This window comes from Homo sapiens, chromosome 2 (assembly GCF_000001405.40).
Source record: "Homo sapiens chromosome 2, GRCh38.p14 Primary Assembly".
NCBI classification, from domain to species: Eukaryota; Metazoa; Chordata; class Mammalia; order Primates; family Hominidae; genus Homo; species Homo sapiens.
This window is the reverse complement of record NC_000002.12, coordinates 17,850,036-17,865,652: the sequence shown is the minus strand read 5'-3', so window position 1 is coordinate 17,865,652 and position 15,617 is coordinate 17,850,036.

Below are 15,617 nucleotides of genomic sequence, written 5' to 3'. Positions count from 1 at the left end.
ATCCCTCATGGATGGGATTAGAGCCCTTATAAAAGGGCTTAGGGGAGTGATTTTACTCTCCTCCTCTTCCACCATGTGAGGGGATAACGTACAAGGGCCTTCTTGGAAGCAAAGACCAAACCTACTGGTACCTTGATCTTGGATTTCCCAGCCTGAAAAACTATGAAAAATAAATTTATGTTATTTATAGTTTGCCCAGTCTCAGGTATTTTGTCATAGCAGCACAAATGGACTGAAACAATCACCAAGAAGCTAATTTACAACTGTAGCGTGAGCTTCACAGCCTCGTGGAAAGATACAGGCTTCCGAGTTGTTGCAGGACCACTTACGGCCTGCATAGCCTTGAGCATGTAGCTCAACTTTTATTCGTTAATTTATTCAACCAACATTTTAAGTTCTATTGAGTGCCAAGTGCACTAACCAAAGATACAATTTAATCATTCTAAAACGAGGATAATACTAACATTTACTTACAAGTTTGTCTTGAGGTTTCAGTGCCCCACCACGCACAATAGAGAATAATAAATGTGAATTATCTTTCACTGTTCTTCCTGGCCCTTAGTACCTATACTCCTTTTCTGTATATAAAGAGAAATTTCTCATAAACAAAATAAATTCCTAGTTGGATAATGAAGAGCATCAATATAAATCCTGAATAAACTTCAAGGCATACCCTTCCATTCTCACAATGAAGTACTGGGCTGTAAGTAATCTGGTTGAACTAAATTCTTGTTATATGTAAACTATCCGAGGGCAGAGTCAGCAAATACTGTCATATGATGACAAGCAGAATCCCTTAGGGTAAAGGGCTAGAAACATGGCTTCCAAATATGGTCTTCCTGGCAGTCAGAAGAGCTATGTTTCCATTCACTCTTTCCACCAGTCAACAAATGTTTTCTTAACATTCACATTGTACCAGGCTGGGTACAAAGAACTGATATTTTATTAAATGTGAATTTCAAGGGCACAGATTTAGAGGTACAAATTCTTAATTGTCTTTATTTCTCTATTGCTGAATTTATGGCAGCAGAAAACAATTTTAGCAATTCCAGGTAAATCTGGTAATTCCTAGAGTTAAATTCTGTTAATTCAGGCTCTTTCTCTGCCCCCTTCCTTCCCTTATCCCTTCAAGTATCTGTGATCAGGGAGGGCTGTGTACCACCCAGCAACAAGGTAAGTGGAGTAAAGTATCCACAGTGGGCCTCTGCCCACACTGGCCTCTGGTGGGATGGGCTCCCCACTGCTTGATGCTCATCCTATAACCATGACTCATCACTGATGTCCTCCTGCTCACTGGTCCCTCAGTTGCTTGTTGAATGCATTCTGTTCCCTCATGGCCCTGACCCCAGTGCTTCTGGTCCATCACTTACAGCATTTCCAAAGTACCTTTGCAGGGTTCAGAAACTCAGCCCCTTTCCTTTCACTCAAGGCACCTGTAAGGCACTTGGCCTCTCAATTCCAGATAGCTCACTCAGCTGTCACTACTCTGGTTCCATCGCCATGCTGGAAGCAGATATTGCTTGTGAAAGTGGCATTGGTATCCTTTGCCATGGGATTTTTCCAAATGTGCCTGGGATTTCCAGCTTTCTCCCCTTCATAGGGCCTCTACCAACTCTCTCAAGGCTAAATCCCAAAGGATTTCCCACCATCTCATGGCGAGCTCTGTGTAGAAAACTGGTTCTTCAACTATTGTCTTTTCCGTCTGTCGTTTGTGCCAGGATTTGACTCTTGAACTTCAATAATTAATCCTTTTCTCTCAAAGTCATTGTTTTGGGCTTCAAGAGCCTATTTTGCAAGTCCAAAGTGAAACTCTAACATTTCTTTCTTTTTGCGGATTCAACGGTAATCCTCCCTGAAGCAACAGTATGCCTCTGACTAAATAGAAGATTATGTACAAAAATCGTGGAAGGGGAAGCACTCTGGTTAATATTTTAAAACATTGTCTCACTACGTATTAACCACACACAGTCCCTGCCTTGAGAAGCTGACAGTCAGTGAGAAATTTTCACCAAGTGGTTAGTTAGGCCAATTGACCAGATCTGTAATTAGCAAAAGCTGATTTGTAAAGCAACCCATAGATTCAGCTCTATTCCAAACATTTGTGGGGCCATAACCAGAGCTCAGATAAAGGTCCCCAGCCCTTGAACCAACACTCTTGCTTTTCCATCTGGTTCCTTCCAATAGCCACAGGGAGCCCCACACTCATCCTGAAGGACACTTCAACCCACACAGCCAAGATGTCCATAAAGCATGGTTTCAGAATATGTTGTACTAGAAGGTTTTCATTTTCTCATATGTGTTACCATCTAGAGATCAAGTTTAAGCTAATATCTTGGCTTGGTAGTTCTGTGGACCATAAGAACTAGTATAAATACAAACCCCAAACCTGACCGTGAGAGTAGAAAAAAATTATTACATCCAGAATCCAAACTGGAATGGGCAAGGTTTCTTGTCAACTCCTTTCCCCTCAGTATTGTGTCCAGGCTTTATGTAAGGCTAGTAATTACTGTCCATATTCATTGAATTTAAAAGATTGATCAGAGCAAAAGATGGATGGGTCTTGAAGAATGGCAAGTCATTACTTTTTCTCAGGAAAAGGGAGCAATTTAACCTCCTAGAACCTGAGATCCACATTTGGCCAATTAGCCATTCCCTCCCATGGCTTTGTATAAAAACAGATGATGCAAACCTGGGGCACATGGTGGGCATGGTTTGTCAGAGTGGTGGTGGCAGTGCCTGTAGCAGCAGGTTTGATCAATTGGCAATGTTTCTGCTTTTTGCTTCTTAACCATCCAGACTGCATTTGATTCTTGACAATTCCCAATTATGATCTTCTCAACTCTCATGAACTCTGTGAATTCCCAAGAAATTACCCTTTGCTTAAATTTGTCGGTCATTTTTCAGTTACTTGCAACCGGAAATGTAATCAAATTTGCCACCAGAAAGGCCCGTTTCTTTCCCTCCACTGCTGTCTGCACTTCTGAATCTTATGAGCTCTTTGCCAAGCATTCTTTCTTCCCTATCTTGGGAAGATTTGAATGACATTATTTGTGAGTTCTGTGAGTCAGCCTCCTGCCTCAATGATCTCCCCAGGCCATCAGCCACACCAGCTTCTTTAGGAGACCAGATCCTTGGTCATTCCAGATGACCCATGGCCTCTCATTGCAGACCCATGGTCTCTCATTTTTTTGCTCATGCCAATGGTCTGAGGGTGGAACTAGGACAGAAGACCCACATCTCTGTACCTTTACACTGATTAATGGTAATGTTAAAACTAATGTTTACTAGAGCTGGAACCCGGGGCACATCACCTACACCTTTATTGCTTATAGTTCCACATTATAAATAGGATATTGGACCTTGCCTTTAGATGGATCCTACAAATTCCACAATTACTACAAATGTTTTTCCTCTTTTCTCCTGAGAGAACACCACCGCCAAGCCTTTGAAACAGGTGTTAGTACATCATATGAAAGGCTCATTAAGGTCAGCAAACACTGATGTGGAACCCTCGTCTAGCCATTTCATCAGAGTTCAGACTGCTTTTCACAGGCCTCAGTTTATCTCTCTCTAGAGCAAGTTCAGAGACTAATATTCCCATCCATCCATCCATCCATCTATCCATCCTTCCCTTCACCCATCCATCCATCCATCCGTCTATCCTTCCATCCACCTATCCATTCATTTCTTCATCCATTCATTCATCCATCCATGCATCCGTCCACCCATTCATCCATCCATCTCAGCCCTGCATGCACCTGACAGTCTGTTACCTGGTGAGAAACTTGTAATCCTAGTTTTCTAACTGTCCAAATTATCCTCTAAACACCTCTCCCAATTTATCCACCTCTCTTGATTGGTGATCCTCATTCACTCAAGGGAGGAAACCTTTCTAGATCAGGACTTACTCCTGGTGGGAAAAGTGTCTGCCACTTATTTCTCAGAGATGCCAGAGAATTCTCACTTGTCAGGGAAGTGATATTCCTATCTTCTTGGGGCAGACTAGCACTCAGAGAATCATGTCTAATAGCCCTCCAATTCCTTCTATAGAAAATAAAATGTACAGGCACCACCAAACCATTCATATTCCCAAGCATTCTCTCAACCAGCAGCTGGAAAAAGGCTGGCATGTTGGAGAGGACCAAAATGATAAAAGTCATCATCATCATCATCATCCTGAAAAAATTAAGCCTGTTTCTTTATTTTCTTCCTCAGCCATGGATTTATGTAGTAACACTCACAACTAAAATCAAATCTGAAAACCACTGGCCAACTACTAAACAGATTAAGGTATTCCAAATCTGGGACCACTGTTAATTCATTTAATTAGTGTCCCATAATTCACACATATTTTAATTTTTTCTGATTTTTTTATCTCAATACAAGTGGGAATACTTATGAATTTTAAAACTCACACATGTCATTTACTTAATATGCTCCCTAAATCATTGCTTTGACAGAACTATTTTTTCAAAAGATCTTACAAATGTTGCATTGGACACATTTATACAAAAAAATTCTGACTGTGTACCATATGTATACACACAAGCAGATATATATATATATTTCTAAACCTGGCAACCTGTCTCTTACTTGTGCTTCTCCTGCATGCCCCCTGCCGCACCCCACCCCCACATATGTACACAAATCCACAGCCTCAGGTAACCTGTAGCATCCAATACTGCTGTCCTGGAACCTGTCTAGGCTCCCTACATGACCACTGATTCTATTGGCTACTCATGTCCTCCCACCAATTCTGTCACATTGCTAATGATCTCTGCTCTCCCCTGAAGAAATCCAACTTTCTCAAAAAAGCCCATGTTGGAAGACACACATTTATAAAATTCTCTGCCTAGGTCACTTTCCCCTACAGGCGATTCCATGCAGGTAACGACCTGATAAATTCATGCAGGAAAGCAAAAAGTTTCAGGCTTCTGATTGAAAAGTTCATTCTCAACAAGGTGCCAGTGCTCAGACACAGAACCCTCTCCAGGTGAGCCCCTTACTTCTCAGACTCCTGGGCACCATTCTGCTCAGAGCTAAGATGCTACAATGAGACCTTCCTTAGCTCAGTTCTATGGAATGCTTTGATTCAGGGATGGCAGGATACTGCCTGCATTTCAACAATTACTAAGAAGCTTCTGTAATGTATACTCTTAGCTCTGGAAAGGTGGGGCAGTCCAATTCAGTAGAAAAAAAAATGCTTTCAATAAATCCAAGCGGCAGGATAGAGGGGAAGAGAGGGAGGAAACGGGAATACAAGCTAGATTCAGTACAGTTTCTATCCTTGGTGTGCTCTTGGTGAAGTAAGGAAACACATATTTTTAACGAGCAAGATGATTGACTTCCTTCTTCCTGAGTTCCCTTTTTTTGGATACCTTCTCTTTGGGTCAGGTCAGGCACATGTTAAGTTAGGATAACTGAAAGAAGCCTTTGTAATAATAACTAACTTTTTTCTTTTTTTTTTTTTTTTAAATGGAGTCTCACTCTGTAGCCCAGGCTGGAGTGCAGTGGCATGATCTTGGCTCACTGCAACCTCCGCCTCCCAGGTCCAAGCGATTCTCCTGCCTCAGCCTTCTGAGTAGCTGCGATTACAGGTGCCCACCACCACCCCTGGCTAATTTTTTTTATTTTTAGTAGAAACAGAGTTTCACCATGTTGGCCAGGCTGGTCTCAAACTCCTGACTTCAAGTGATCTGCCTGCCTCGGCCTTGAAAAGTGCTGGAATTACAGGCGTGAGCCACCGTGCCTGGCCAACCACCCCGCCAAGTGTCTGGTATCATACAGGGGGTTAGGATTTCAACAGATGAATTTTGGAGGGACACACAAACATTCAGACCATAGCGGGGCTGAGCTGCCTGTGATCCTGTGATTTGTTGTCAGGGGTGTGTGACTCCCCATAGGTCAAGTAGACGCCACGGGACATAGCTCAGGTTGGGCCACCTTGCAGGCACCTCACATGGGAGGACTGCCCATCTGGCACAAGGACCCTACCAACAAGAGGCCCTGCCTGGGCACTGGTGGCAGGAACTGAGGGGAAGTGGAAGAGTTGGGTCTCCCAAATGCAGAGACTAAGCAGGGGTGTTCTACGGTGAGCAGGTCTGTGCAAACACTCCACCAAAGGCCAAAGAAAGAGGCTGACAAATCCAGTTTCTCAGAAAGAAATCTTTATTAAGGATTTATGAACAGAAGCCATGTACCAGGTGCCACGAGATGGGATGGCAAGATGGGATGGTGGATCCCTGCACCATTATCTTTTAGACCCAGGGCTTCCGTACCATAAGGAAGGAATGTGTAGGACAATTGTAGTGGACCCCTCAGGGAAAGGCAAGAATGCTATGGAATCTGTCTAAAGGCAGGATTTACAGTAACAGTAGATAAAATAGAAATCTTAGAGGCATCCCCAGAACTGGGATTAATCGGAAGTCAACATGGCAGGTTAGCATCCAAGATGGAGTTGCTTTATCCTTCACAAAAAGGGAGGCCCTGGAAGCCCACTAAGGAGCTAGCCCACAGAGAACATCAAGAGCCCATTATTTAAAGAAAATGTGGTACATATATACCATAGAATTACTATACACCCATAAGAAAGAACAAAATCATGTCCTTTGCAGCAATATGGATGCAGCTAGAGGCCATTATCCTAAGTGAATTAACAAAAGAACAGAAAATAAAATTCCACATATTCTCACTTATAAGTGGTAGCTAAACATTGTGTATTCATGGACATAAAGAAGGCAATAAACTATAGGGGCTACTAGAGGAGGTAGTGGGTGGAAGTGTTGCAAACTAAGTATTGAGTACTATGCTCAGTACCTGGGTGATAGGATCAATTGTACCCCAAACCTAAGCATCACACAATATACCAAAGTAACAAATCTGCACATACTCCCCTGAATCTAAAATAAAAGTTGAAACTGTTTTTAAAGAAAAAGACATGAAAGAAAAAAAATGCATCCCCATCAGCCAGAGTAGCAGTGACAATCAGCAGAGAGAGGATTACCTGTGCTGACTTAGCTAGAGACTGACCTTTTGTCCCTCATCCAGCAGTGAGTTCACACCAGCACACACCAACTCATACCAACCTGTAAGAGTGTGTTATGCATATCTGTTCCCAATTCCATGTTCAGTAACACCACGCTGGGAGCTTGAAATCAGCTGTGATGGGACATTTACCCCACAGAAACCTGTAAACACTACAAATTAGGGCATTTTTCCAGAGAACCTGTTGTCAACCATTTACCAGAACACCACTGCCTCTCTGCCCCCACCTGTGCTCCCACCCATTACTGGAGTGACAGCTGACTAAGGGAGGAGGCAGGGGAGGAGAAAAAAGAAGGAAGAAAAGCAGACCATGCTCCAGTGGTCTCTCCAAGCCCTTGGAGCATGGAAATGGCTTAGGATAAGCAAGAACGGTTTTGAATGACATATGAGGTTGGCATTTTAAACTAGACTCAAATGATTTTAATAAATAAACAAACCAAAACCTATGAAATCTCCCCAAGAAGTGGGAGGGAGGAGTTGGTTGTATGCCAATTGAGGATAGTGATTATAAGAAATAGTCTGTGCCAGGCACAGTGGCTCACACCTGTAATCCTAACACTTTGGGAGGCTAAGTCAGGAGGATTGCTTGAGCCCAGGAGTTCAAGACCAGTCTGGGCAACGTAGGGAAATCCTATCTTTACAAAAAATAAAAAATTAGCTGGATGTGGTGGTGAGTGCCTGTGGTCCCAGCTACCTGAGAGGCTGAGGTGGGAGGATCTCTTGAGCACAGGGGGTCTAGGTTGTAGTGAGCCATGATTCTGCCACTGCACTCCAGTCTAGACAACAGAGTGAGAACCTAAGAAAAGAAAAGAAAAGAAAAGAAAAGAAGGAAAGAAGAAAGGATGGAAGGAAGGAAGGAGGAAAAGAAAGAAAGAGAAAGAGAAAGAAAGAAAAGAAGGAAGGAAGGAAGGAAAAGGAAAGGAAAGGAAGAAAGAAGGAAAGAAGGAAAAGAAAAGAAAGAAAAAGAGAAAGAGAAAGAAAGGAGGGAGGGAAGGAAGAGAGGGAGGGAGGGAGGGGGGAGGGGAAAAACGGAGGACAGAAGGAAAAGAGTCTGTGTTTACACTGAGTGATGTGTCCTCAGAAAGCCCTTCCATCTGTCTCCCTGCAGCACCTAAGGTGTTGAACCACAAATGGCTCTTAAACACGCACATTCTGAATACACACATAATTACACCCTACCCCTTGCCTGGCCACTGAGCTGCTGCATGGTCTTGGGTTAATTGCTTTCCTCTTGGAGCTCCCTCCTTCTCCTGGGGAAAGAGACATTTGGAGGAGATGAGCTCTCTCCTCCAACATGCAAAACCTCCTCCGTGAATTCTACACACACATACTCTGCAGGACACCACGTTAGTCATCACTGAGACTGACAGTCACTTTCCTCTGCGAATTTCATAACCAAGAGAGAAGAGGAGGAACAAAGCTGAGCTGGCCTGCCTAGGTGGGGGATGTGCAGCAGGAAAGCCCATGGATTTTGGCATTTGAGTCTGCAGTGAGCTAGAACATCCTCTGCAGTCTGCTTTCCCACATGCATGGTCTTTAAGATAAACTGTTTGCAGGGAGCACCCAAGGCTATATTTATTGATCAACATAATCTAGAACATAATCTAGGAAACAATCAAGAACAGGAGTTTATAAGCCACAGCCACAAGCTAAGAAAGGTTGAAAAAATCTAAAGAATATTGCTTTATAACCGTCATTATATGAAAAAACACTTGCACACACATTTATAGCAGCACAATTCACAACTGCAGAAATATGGAACCAGCCTAAATGTCAATCAACCAACGAATGCATAAAGAAAATGTGGTATATATACACCATGGAATACTACTCAGCCATAAAAAGGAATGAAATAATGTCACTCACAGCAACCTAGATAGAGTTAGAGACCATTATTCTAAGTGAAGCAACTCAGGAATGGAAAACCAAATATTGTATGTTCTCACTTATAAGTGGGAGCTAAACTATGGAGATGCAAAGGCGTAAGAAGGATATAATGGACTTTGGGGCTTGAGGGGAAGGGCAGGAGGGAGGTGAGGGATAAAAGACTACACACTGGGTACAGTGTACACTGTTTGGTTGACAGGTGCACCAAAATCTCTGAAATTACTGCTAAAGAACTTATCCATGTATGTTAGTCCATTCTCATGGTGTTATAAGGACATACCCAAGACTGGATAATTTATAAAGGAAAGAGGTTTAATTGACTCACAATTTTGCAGGGCTGGAGAGGCCCCAGGAAACTTACAATCATGGCAGAAAGGGAGGCAAACATGTCCTTCTTCACATGGCAGCAGCAAGAAGTGCTGAGCAAAAGAGAGAAAAGCCCCTTATAAAACCATGAGATCTCGTGAGAACTTACTCACTATCATGAGAACAGCATGAGGGTAACCAGCCCCATGATTGAATTACCTCCCACTGTGTCCCTCCCACCACACGTAGGGATTATGGGAACTATTAAGTTGGTGCAAAAGTAATATAATTCAAGATGAGATTTGGGTGGGGATACAGCCAAACCATATCACCATGAAACCAAAAGCTACCTGTTCCCCAAAAACTATTGAAATAAAAATTATGTATTACTTCATAACATATAAAAATTATATTGAATTCCAATGTTACTGTCATTAAATAAAGCTTTACTTGAAACATGGCCACACCCTTCCATGTGCATATTATCTATGTCTGCCTTATCAGCCACACTGGCAGAGTACGGTATTTGCAACAAAGACTGCGTGGCCCACAAAGCCTGAAATTTTTACTTTCTGTTTTTTATGGAAGTTTGGCCAACTCTCACTCTAAGACCACGGAAACCTTATTCTTCCATGACCTGCATCCTGTTTCTTCTCTGGTTAACTGAGGAACTACCTCTTCTGATCCCTCAAAGCCCAGATCAACAACACTGAAACATTATGGCTTCAAGTGCTCCTCAATGCTGGAGGAGTAAGGAAGAGCAGGACACTAAGATAGCAGGGCCTCATGCCATAAAGAAGAATGAAATCATGTCCTTTAGAGCCACAAGGATGCAACTGGCAGCCATTATCCTAAGCGAGTTACTCCAAGAACGAAAAACAAATATCATAAGTTTTCACTTATAAATGGAAGCTAAACATTGGTACTTGGGGACATATAAATGAGAACAATAGACACTGGCGACAACTAGAGGGGAGAAGAAAAGAGGGAGACAATAGTTGACAAACTAACTATTGGGTACTATGCTCACTACCTGGGTGATGAAATCATTTGCATCCCAAACCTCAGCATCACACAATATACCCATATAACAGACCTGCACACGTATCTCTGAATCTAAAATAATTGTTTAGTAAAACCCCAAACTTTAAGAATCCCAGAAGAAAACTTAGGAAACACCAATCTAGATATCAACCTTAGGAAATAATTTATGACTAGGTCCTCAAAAGCAATTGCAACAAAAACAAAAATTGACAAATGGGACCTAGTTAGACTAAGGAGCTTCTGCACAGCAAAAGAATCTATCAACAAAGTAAACAGACAACCTAAGAATGGGAGAAAATACAAACTATGCATCTGACAAAGGTCTAATACCCAAAATCTATCAGGAACTTAATTCAGCAAGCAAACAACAACCCCATTTTGAAAAGCGGTCAAAAGACATGAACAGACACTTCTAAAAAGAACACATACATGCGGCCAAGAAATATATGAAAAAGTGCCCAATATCACTAATAATTAGAGAAATACAAATCAAAACTGCAATGAGATACCATCTCACACCAGTCAGAATGATTATCATCAAAAAGTCAAAAAACAAGATGTTGACAAGGTTGCAGAGAAAAGGGGAATGCTTATACACCGTTGGTGGGAATGTGAGATAGTCCAGCCACTGTGGAAAGCAGTTTGGAGATTTTTTAAGGAACTTAAAACAGAACTGCCATTCAACCCAGAAATCTCATTACTGGATATATACCCAAAGGAAAATGAATCAATTTCCAAAAAGACACATGCATGCATATATTCATGGCAGCACTATTCACAATAGCAGAGACGTGGAATCAACCTAAGTGCCCATCAGTGGTGGATTGGATAAGGAAAATGTGGTACATATATACCATGGAATACTACATATCCATAAAAAAAGAACAAAATCATGTCCTTTGCAGCAACACAGATGTAGCTAGAGGTCATTATCCTTAAGTGAATTAACACAGAGAAAATCAAACACTGCATGATCTCACTTATAAGTGGGAGCTAAACACTGAGCACACATGGACATAAAGATGGCAACAGTGGACACTGGAGGCTACTAGAGGAGGAATCGTGGGAAGGGAGCAAGGCTTGAAAAACTACCTATCGGGTGGTCTTCTCACTACCTCAATGATGGGATCATTTGTACTCCAATCCTCAGCAATGCGCAATTTACCCATGTAACAAACCTACATATGCACCCTTGAAACTAAAATAAAGCGGGAAAAAAAACCAAAAACATAATAAAAGTTGAAATTACCTTAAAAAAAGAAAAAAAAACAGAAACGGGGATAGGGGCCTGGCTCAGCCTGGTAGCCCTCACCTCTGACTGCTCTGAGCCAGGTCCTTGCAACCCTCCGCCTCCCCTCCCCTCAGCAGTCTGCCCCTGTTGGAGGAGCGCTGACCAGCACTGCTTGCTTACTAAAGAGGAGAAAATTGAGATCCAGAGGGGCTTGTTAATCAGTCTTAATCTAAGAATAAACTAGGAACAGGATTGTTTTTCCAATCACTGACTTCACTGACTGTGAAATGGCTTTTTTTGTTCCTTAGTGATACACTGAGCAGATTAAACAACCTTTCAGGTCGTTTTGGTTGTTAAAAGTCCAGTTTGGTTTAAAATAAAATTTTATGTTGACAGTGATCTCCCAGCGGTCCACAACTGTCACTTGCCCCGTCACTTGCTGGTCTGTGGCTAAAGAAACCTAGCATGGGGGACAGGGGTGGTGTGTGGCCAAGGGGACCTGGAGAGGAGGACAGGTGTGGTCTGTGGCCGAGAAGACTTGGAGTGAAACACAGGTATGGTCTGTGTCTGAGGAAACCTAGAGTAGGGCATGGGTGTGGTCTGTGCCTGAGGAAACCTGGAGTGGGGGACAGGTGTGGTCTGCGACTGATGGGACCTGGATTGGGGTACAGGTGTGGTCTGTGGCTGAGGGGACCTGGATTGGGGGACAGGTGTGGTCTGTGACTGATGGGACCTGGAGTGGGGGACAGGTGTGGTCTGTGGCTGAGGGGACCTGCAGTGGGGGACAGGTGTGGTCTGTGACTGATGGGACCTGGAGTGGGGGACAGGTGTGGTCTGTGGCTGAGGGGACCTGGAGTGGGGGACAGGTGTGGTCTGTGACTGATGGGACCTGGAGTGGAGGACAGGTATGGTCTGTGGCTGAGGGGACGTGGAGTGGGGGACAGGTGTGGTCTGTGGCTGAGGGGACGTGGAGTGGGGGACAGGTGTGGTCTGTGGCTGAGGGGACCTGGAGTGGGGGACAGGTGTGGTCTGTGGCTGAGGGGACCTGGAGTGGGGGACAGGTGTGGTCTGTGGCTGAGGGGACGTGGAGTGGGGGACAGGTGTGGTCTGTAGCTGAGGGGACCTGGAGTGGGGGACAGATGTGGTCTAGGCCTCCCCTTGCTGCACATTGCTGTGGAGGGGACTTGTTCTTCCCCAGCCCCCTGCCCTTTCCTTCTTTAGGGTGAAGACCTCCAGGATATTGAGGCAGGAAGAAGGGACAGAGAGGAACAAGCCTTTTATGGTATGTGGGGGTGGGTATGTGTTATTTGGGGGCTGCTTCTTTGTTTTAACTGTATCAGCTACTGCTGTGGTCTTCTGTTAGCACTCGCGCCTTCTCTAGTTTCCACAAATGGCCCTCAATGTCATTGCATGGCAGGTGTATGCTGGGCTTGCTTTTGTTGGTGACATGAGGGGAACAAGCTCATGCTGGGACTCACCTCGGAGACCTGACAGCGCCTTCTCCCTGCCTTCCACTGAGCTTGGAGATTCTCTGTCTCCCACTTTCTCTTGCTCTCAGTGGTCTCCCCTTACAGAGGCTTTCTTAAGGGCAAACCTGCACTCCTGAGGGATCCAGCAGGGCCCGGGGAAAGTCACTATTCTGGCCACACCAAAGGGTAGGAGCAGAGCAGCGTCACTGCCTTCCTCCCCCCTGCCTTCCCTCCCAGTCCTCTTGCTTGCTGGGGTTGGCTGGGGCAGGTCTGCAAGACCCATGCTGGGCAGGTGTCCACGCAGGGAACCACACACTCACCTTCCTGCAATGTCCTGTGTTCATCTCCTGGAGCCTCCTACTCCTGGGCTTGTGGTGGGCACCTTTCCTCTGCTGAGCCATTCTGCCCTTTCGCTTATGCATGTCCCTAGTGATCCCTACTGGGCAAAGGAAAAGCCCCACTCAACCCAATAGCTAACCCAATAAAGCAGGTGAGATGGGCCTTGTCCCTGCCACTGAGCCACACTGCTAAGTGGAGGAAAATGTGACCTCCTTCAGGCCTGAGAATATCATTTGCCTTCTGCAAATAGGACCAGCTAATGTTATCAAGGAGGGCTTAGGGCAGGTTTTATTTCAGTAGGGGGCCTTTTCAGGGACTGGGACTAAAACAGGATCCCCTGAGCGCCGAAGCTGGGCACCAGTGGATTCCTGAGCGCCTCCCAAAAGCCATTAGAGGGCAACAGGCTCCCCTGTGTGGGCATCTTCTGCTATTGCATCTGCACAAAATCGCAGTGTCTGAAAATTAAAATGACTCATAATCCCACATGCAGAAATAATCCTGTTACCATGCTGTTGCATTTACTTCCAGGAGGCTTTTCATGAGCACGGTAAGTATGTGAGTCTACATCCCTCTTTGTTCACTTAATTGCCCAAGACAACTCAATTTTGCCACTCAGCCATTTTTAAAATATAAAGTAAATGTTGCACAAAACAGTGAAATCATTGCTGGAATACTGAGGAACGGTCACTTATTTTATACTCAATAGTTTCTCTTTCTCCTCTCCCTCTCACATGCACACACAATTTTTAGGGAATCTTTATTCTTCCAGGTAGGAGTTGGAGGTGGGAGGAGAGCAGGGAGTTTCCTCCATGCCCTCTTCAGTGTGTGCCCCAAATTTGCCAGATGCTTTTTACATGAGAAACTTGTGACGTAGAAACCTGCTAGGCCAGGCACAGTGGCTCACACCTGTAATCCGAGCACTTTGGGAGGCTGAGGCAAGCGGATCGCTTGAGCCCAGGAGTTCAAGACCAGCCTGGGTAACACAGTGAGACCCCTGTCTCTACACAAAATCCAAAAAATTAGCCAGGTGTGGTGGCATATGCCTGTAGTCCCAGCTACCCAGAAGGCTGAGGAGGGAAGATCACCTGAGCCTAGGAGTTCGAGGCTGCAGTGAGCCACGATAGCGCCACTGCACTCCAGCCTGGGTGACAGAGTGAGACCCTGTTTCAAAAAAAAAAAAAAGAAAGAAACTTGCTACTTTACAGATAAATAACCTCAGTTCAGAAGAATGAAATGACTTTCCAAGGTCACACAGCTAATGGTGTTAAGACCAAGAATTAAGCACAGTCTTTGATGACCCCAAAGCCGTTATCTCTGAGATACTAGACCTACAAGATAGAGCTCCCTCCCACCCCTGGAAATGGTGTCATCAACTGACATCAGTTGGGACAGTTTCCAAAGTTATTTTTGATCAATTTTACACATTCAGCCAGAATGGCTCCAGCTCACCCCCAGTTGTCTCCAGATAGGCACTCACATTGCCCTCTAAGAAATCACTCCTGGGGCCCCAGTTGGTGAAGGATGTTCTAGATCCTGGAAATTCTCCCCGCAGTTGTACTTTAGCACCTGTAACAAGAGATATGATGCTGTGTTGCCAGGAAGTCCCAAGCTGAGAGGAGATACCCCTCTGTGCCTCCTGTAGTCACCAACCCTGGCTCCAGCCAGACCCTCCCAGGCCTCTGCAAAAGCTGCAGCTCAGCGACCACAGCCCTTGTAGGAGGAAGATTTCTTTAACAAAAAAAGCATGGAGCACCCAGGCTAGCATGGCCCTCGGAGATCGTCCAGGCCAACACAGAAGCCCAGCCCAAAGAGGAGAGCACTCAGCAGGCTACAGACACAGGCCGCTCTGCAATGTTCGTGGTGGCTCCTTAAGAGAGCCTCTGGTACGTGAAATGGAGGAAGAAAACCTTCCAGCGTTTGGCCCATCACTGGCAGCAAATGAAAAACCAGACTCTGTGACACATTAATCATGGAGCCAGCTGCTCCTTCCTCATCCTTGTCAGGGCTGTGCTAAGTGCCCATCAGCCATAAGCTGCTTCATGAGCCTTCTCTGAGCACAGGTTACCCAACCAGGATTGGTGGCTGAGAATAAATAAATAAATAAATAAATAAGTAAATAAACAGACAGAGTTCCAATCAGCATGAATTTCCTGAATGCCTCTCATGCTGGGACTGGGGGCTGGAGTTACCGGGTGTGTAAGACACCGATTTGCGGACCCCAAACAGGCAAGGCATTCACTGTTTTATTCACTCATACAACACTAGTTGTATTTACAGTCCTTTGTAAATAGCAGGTC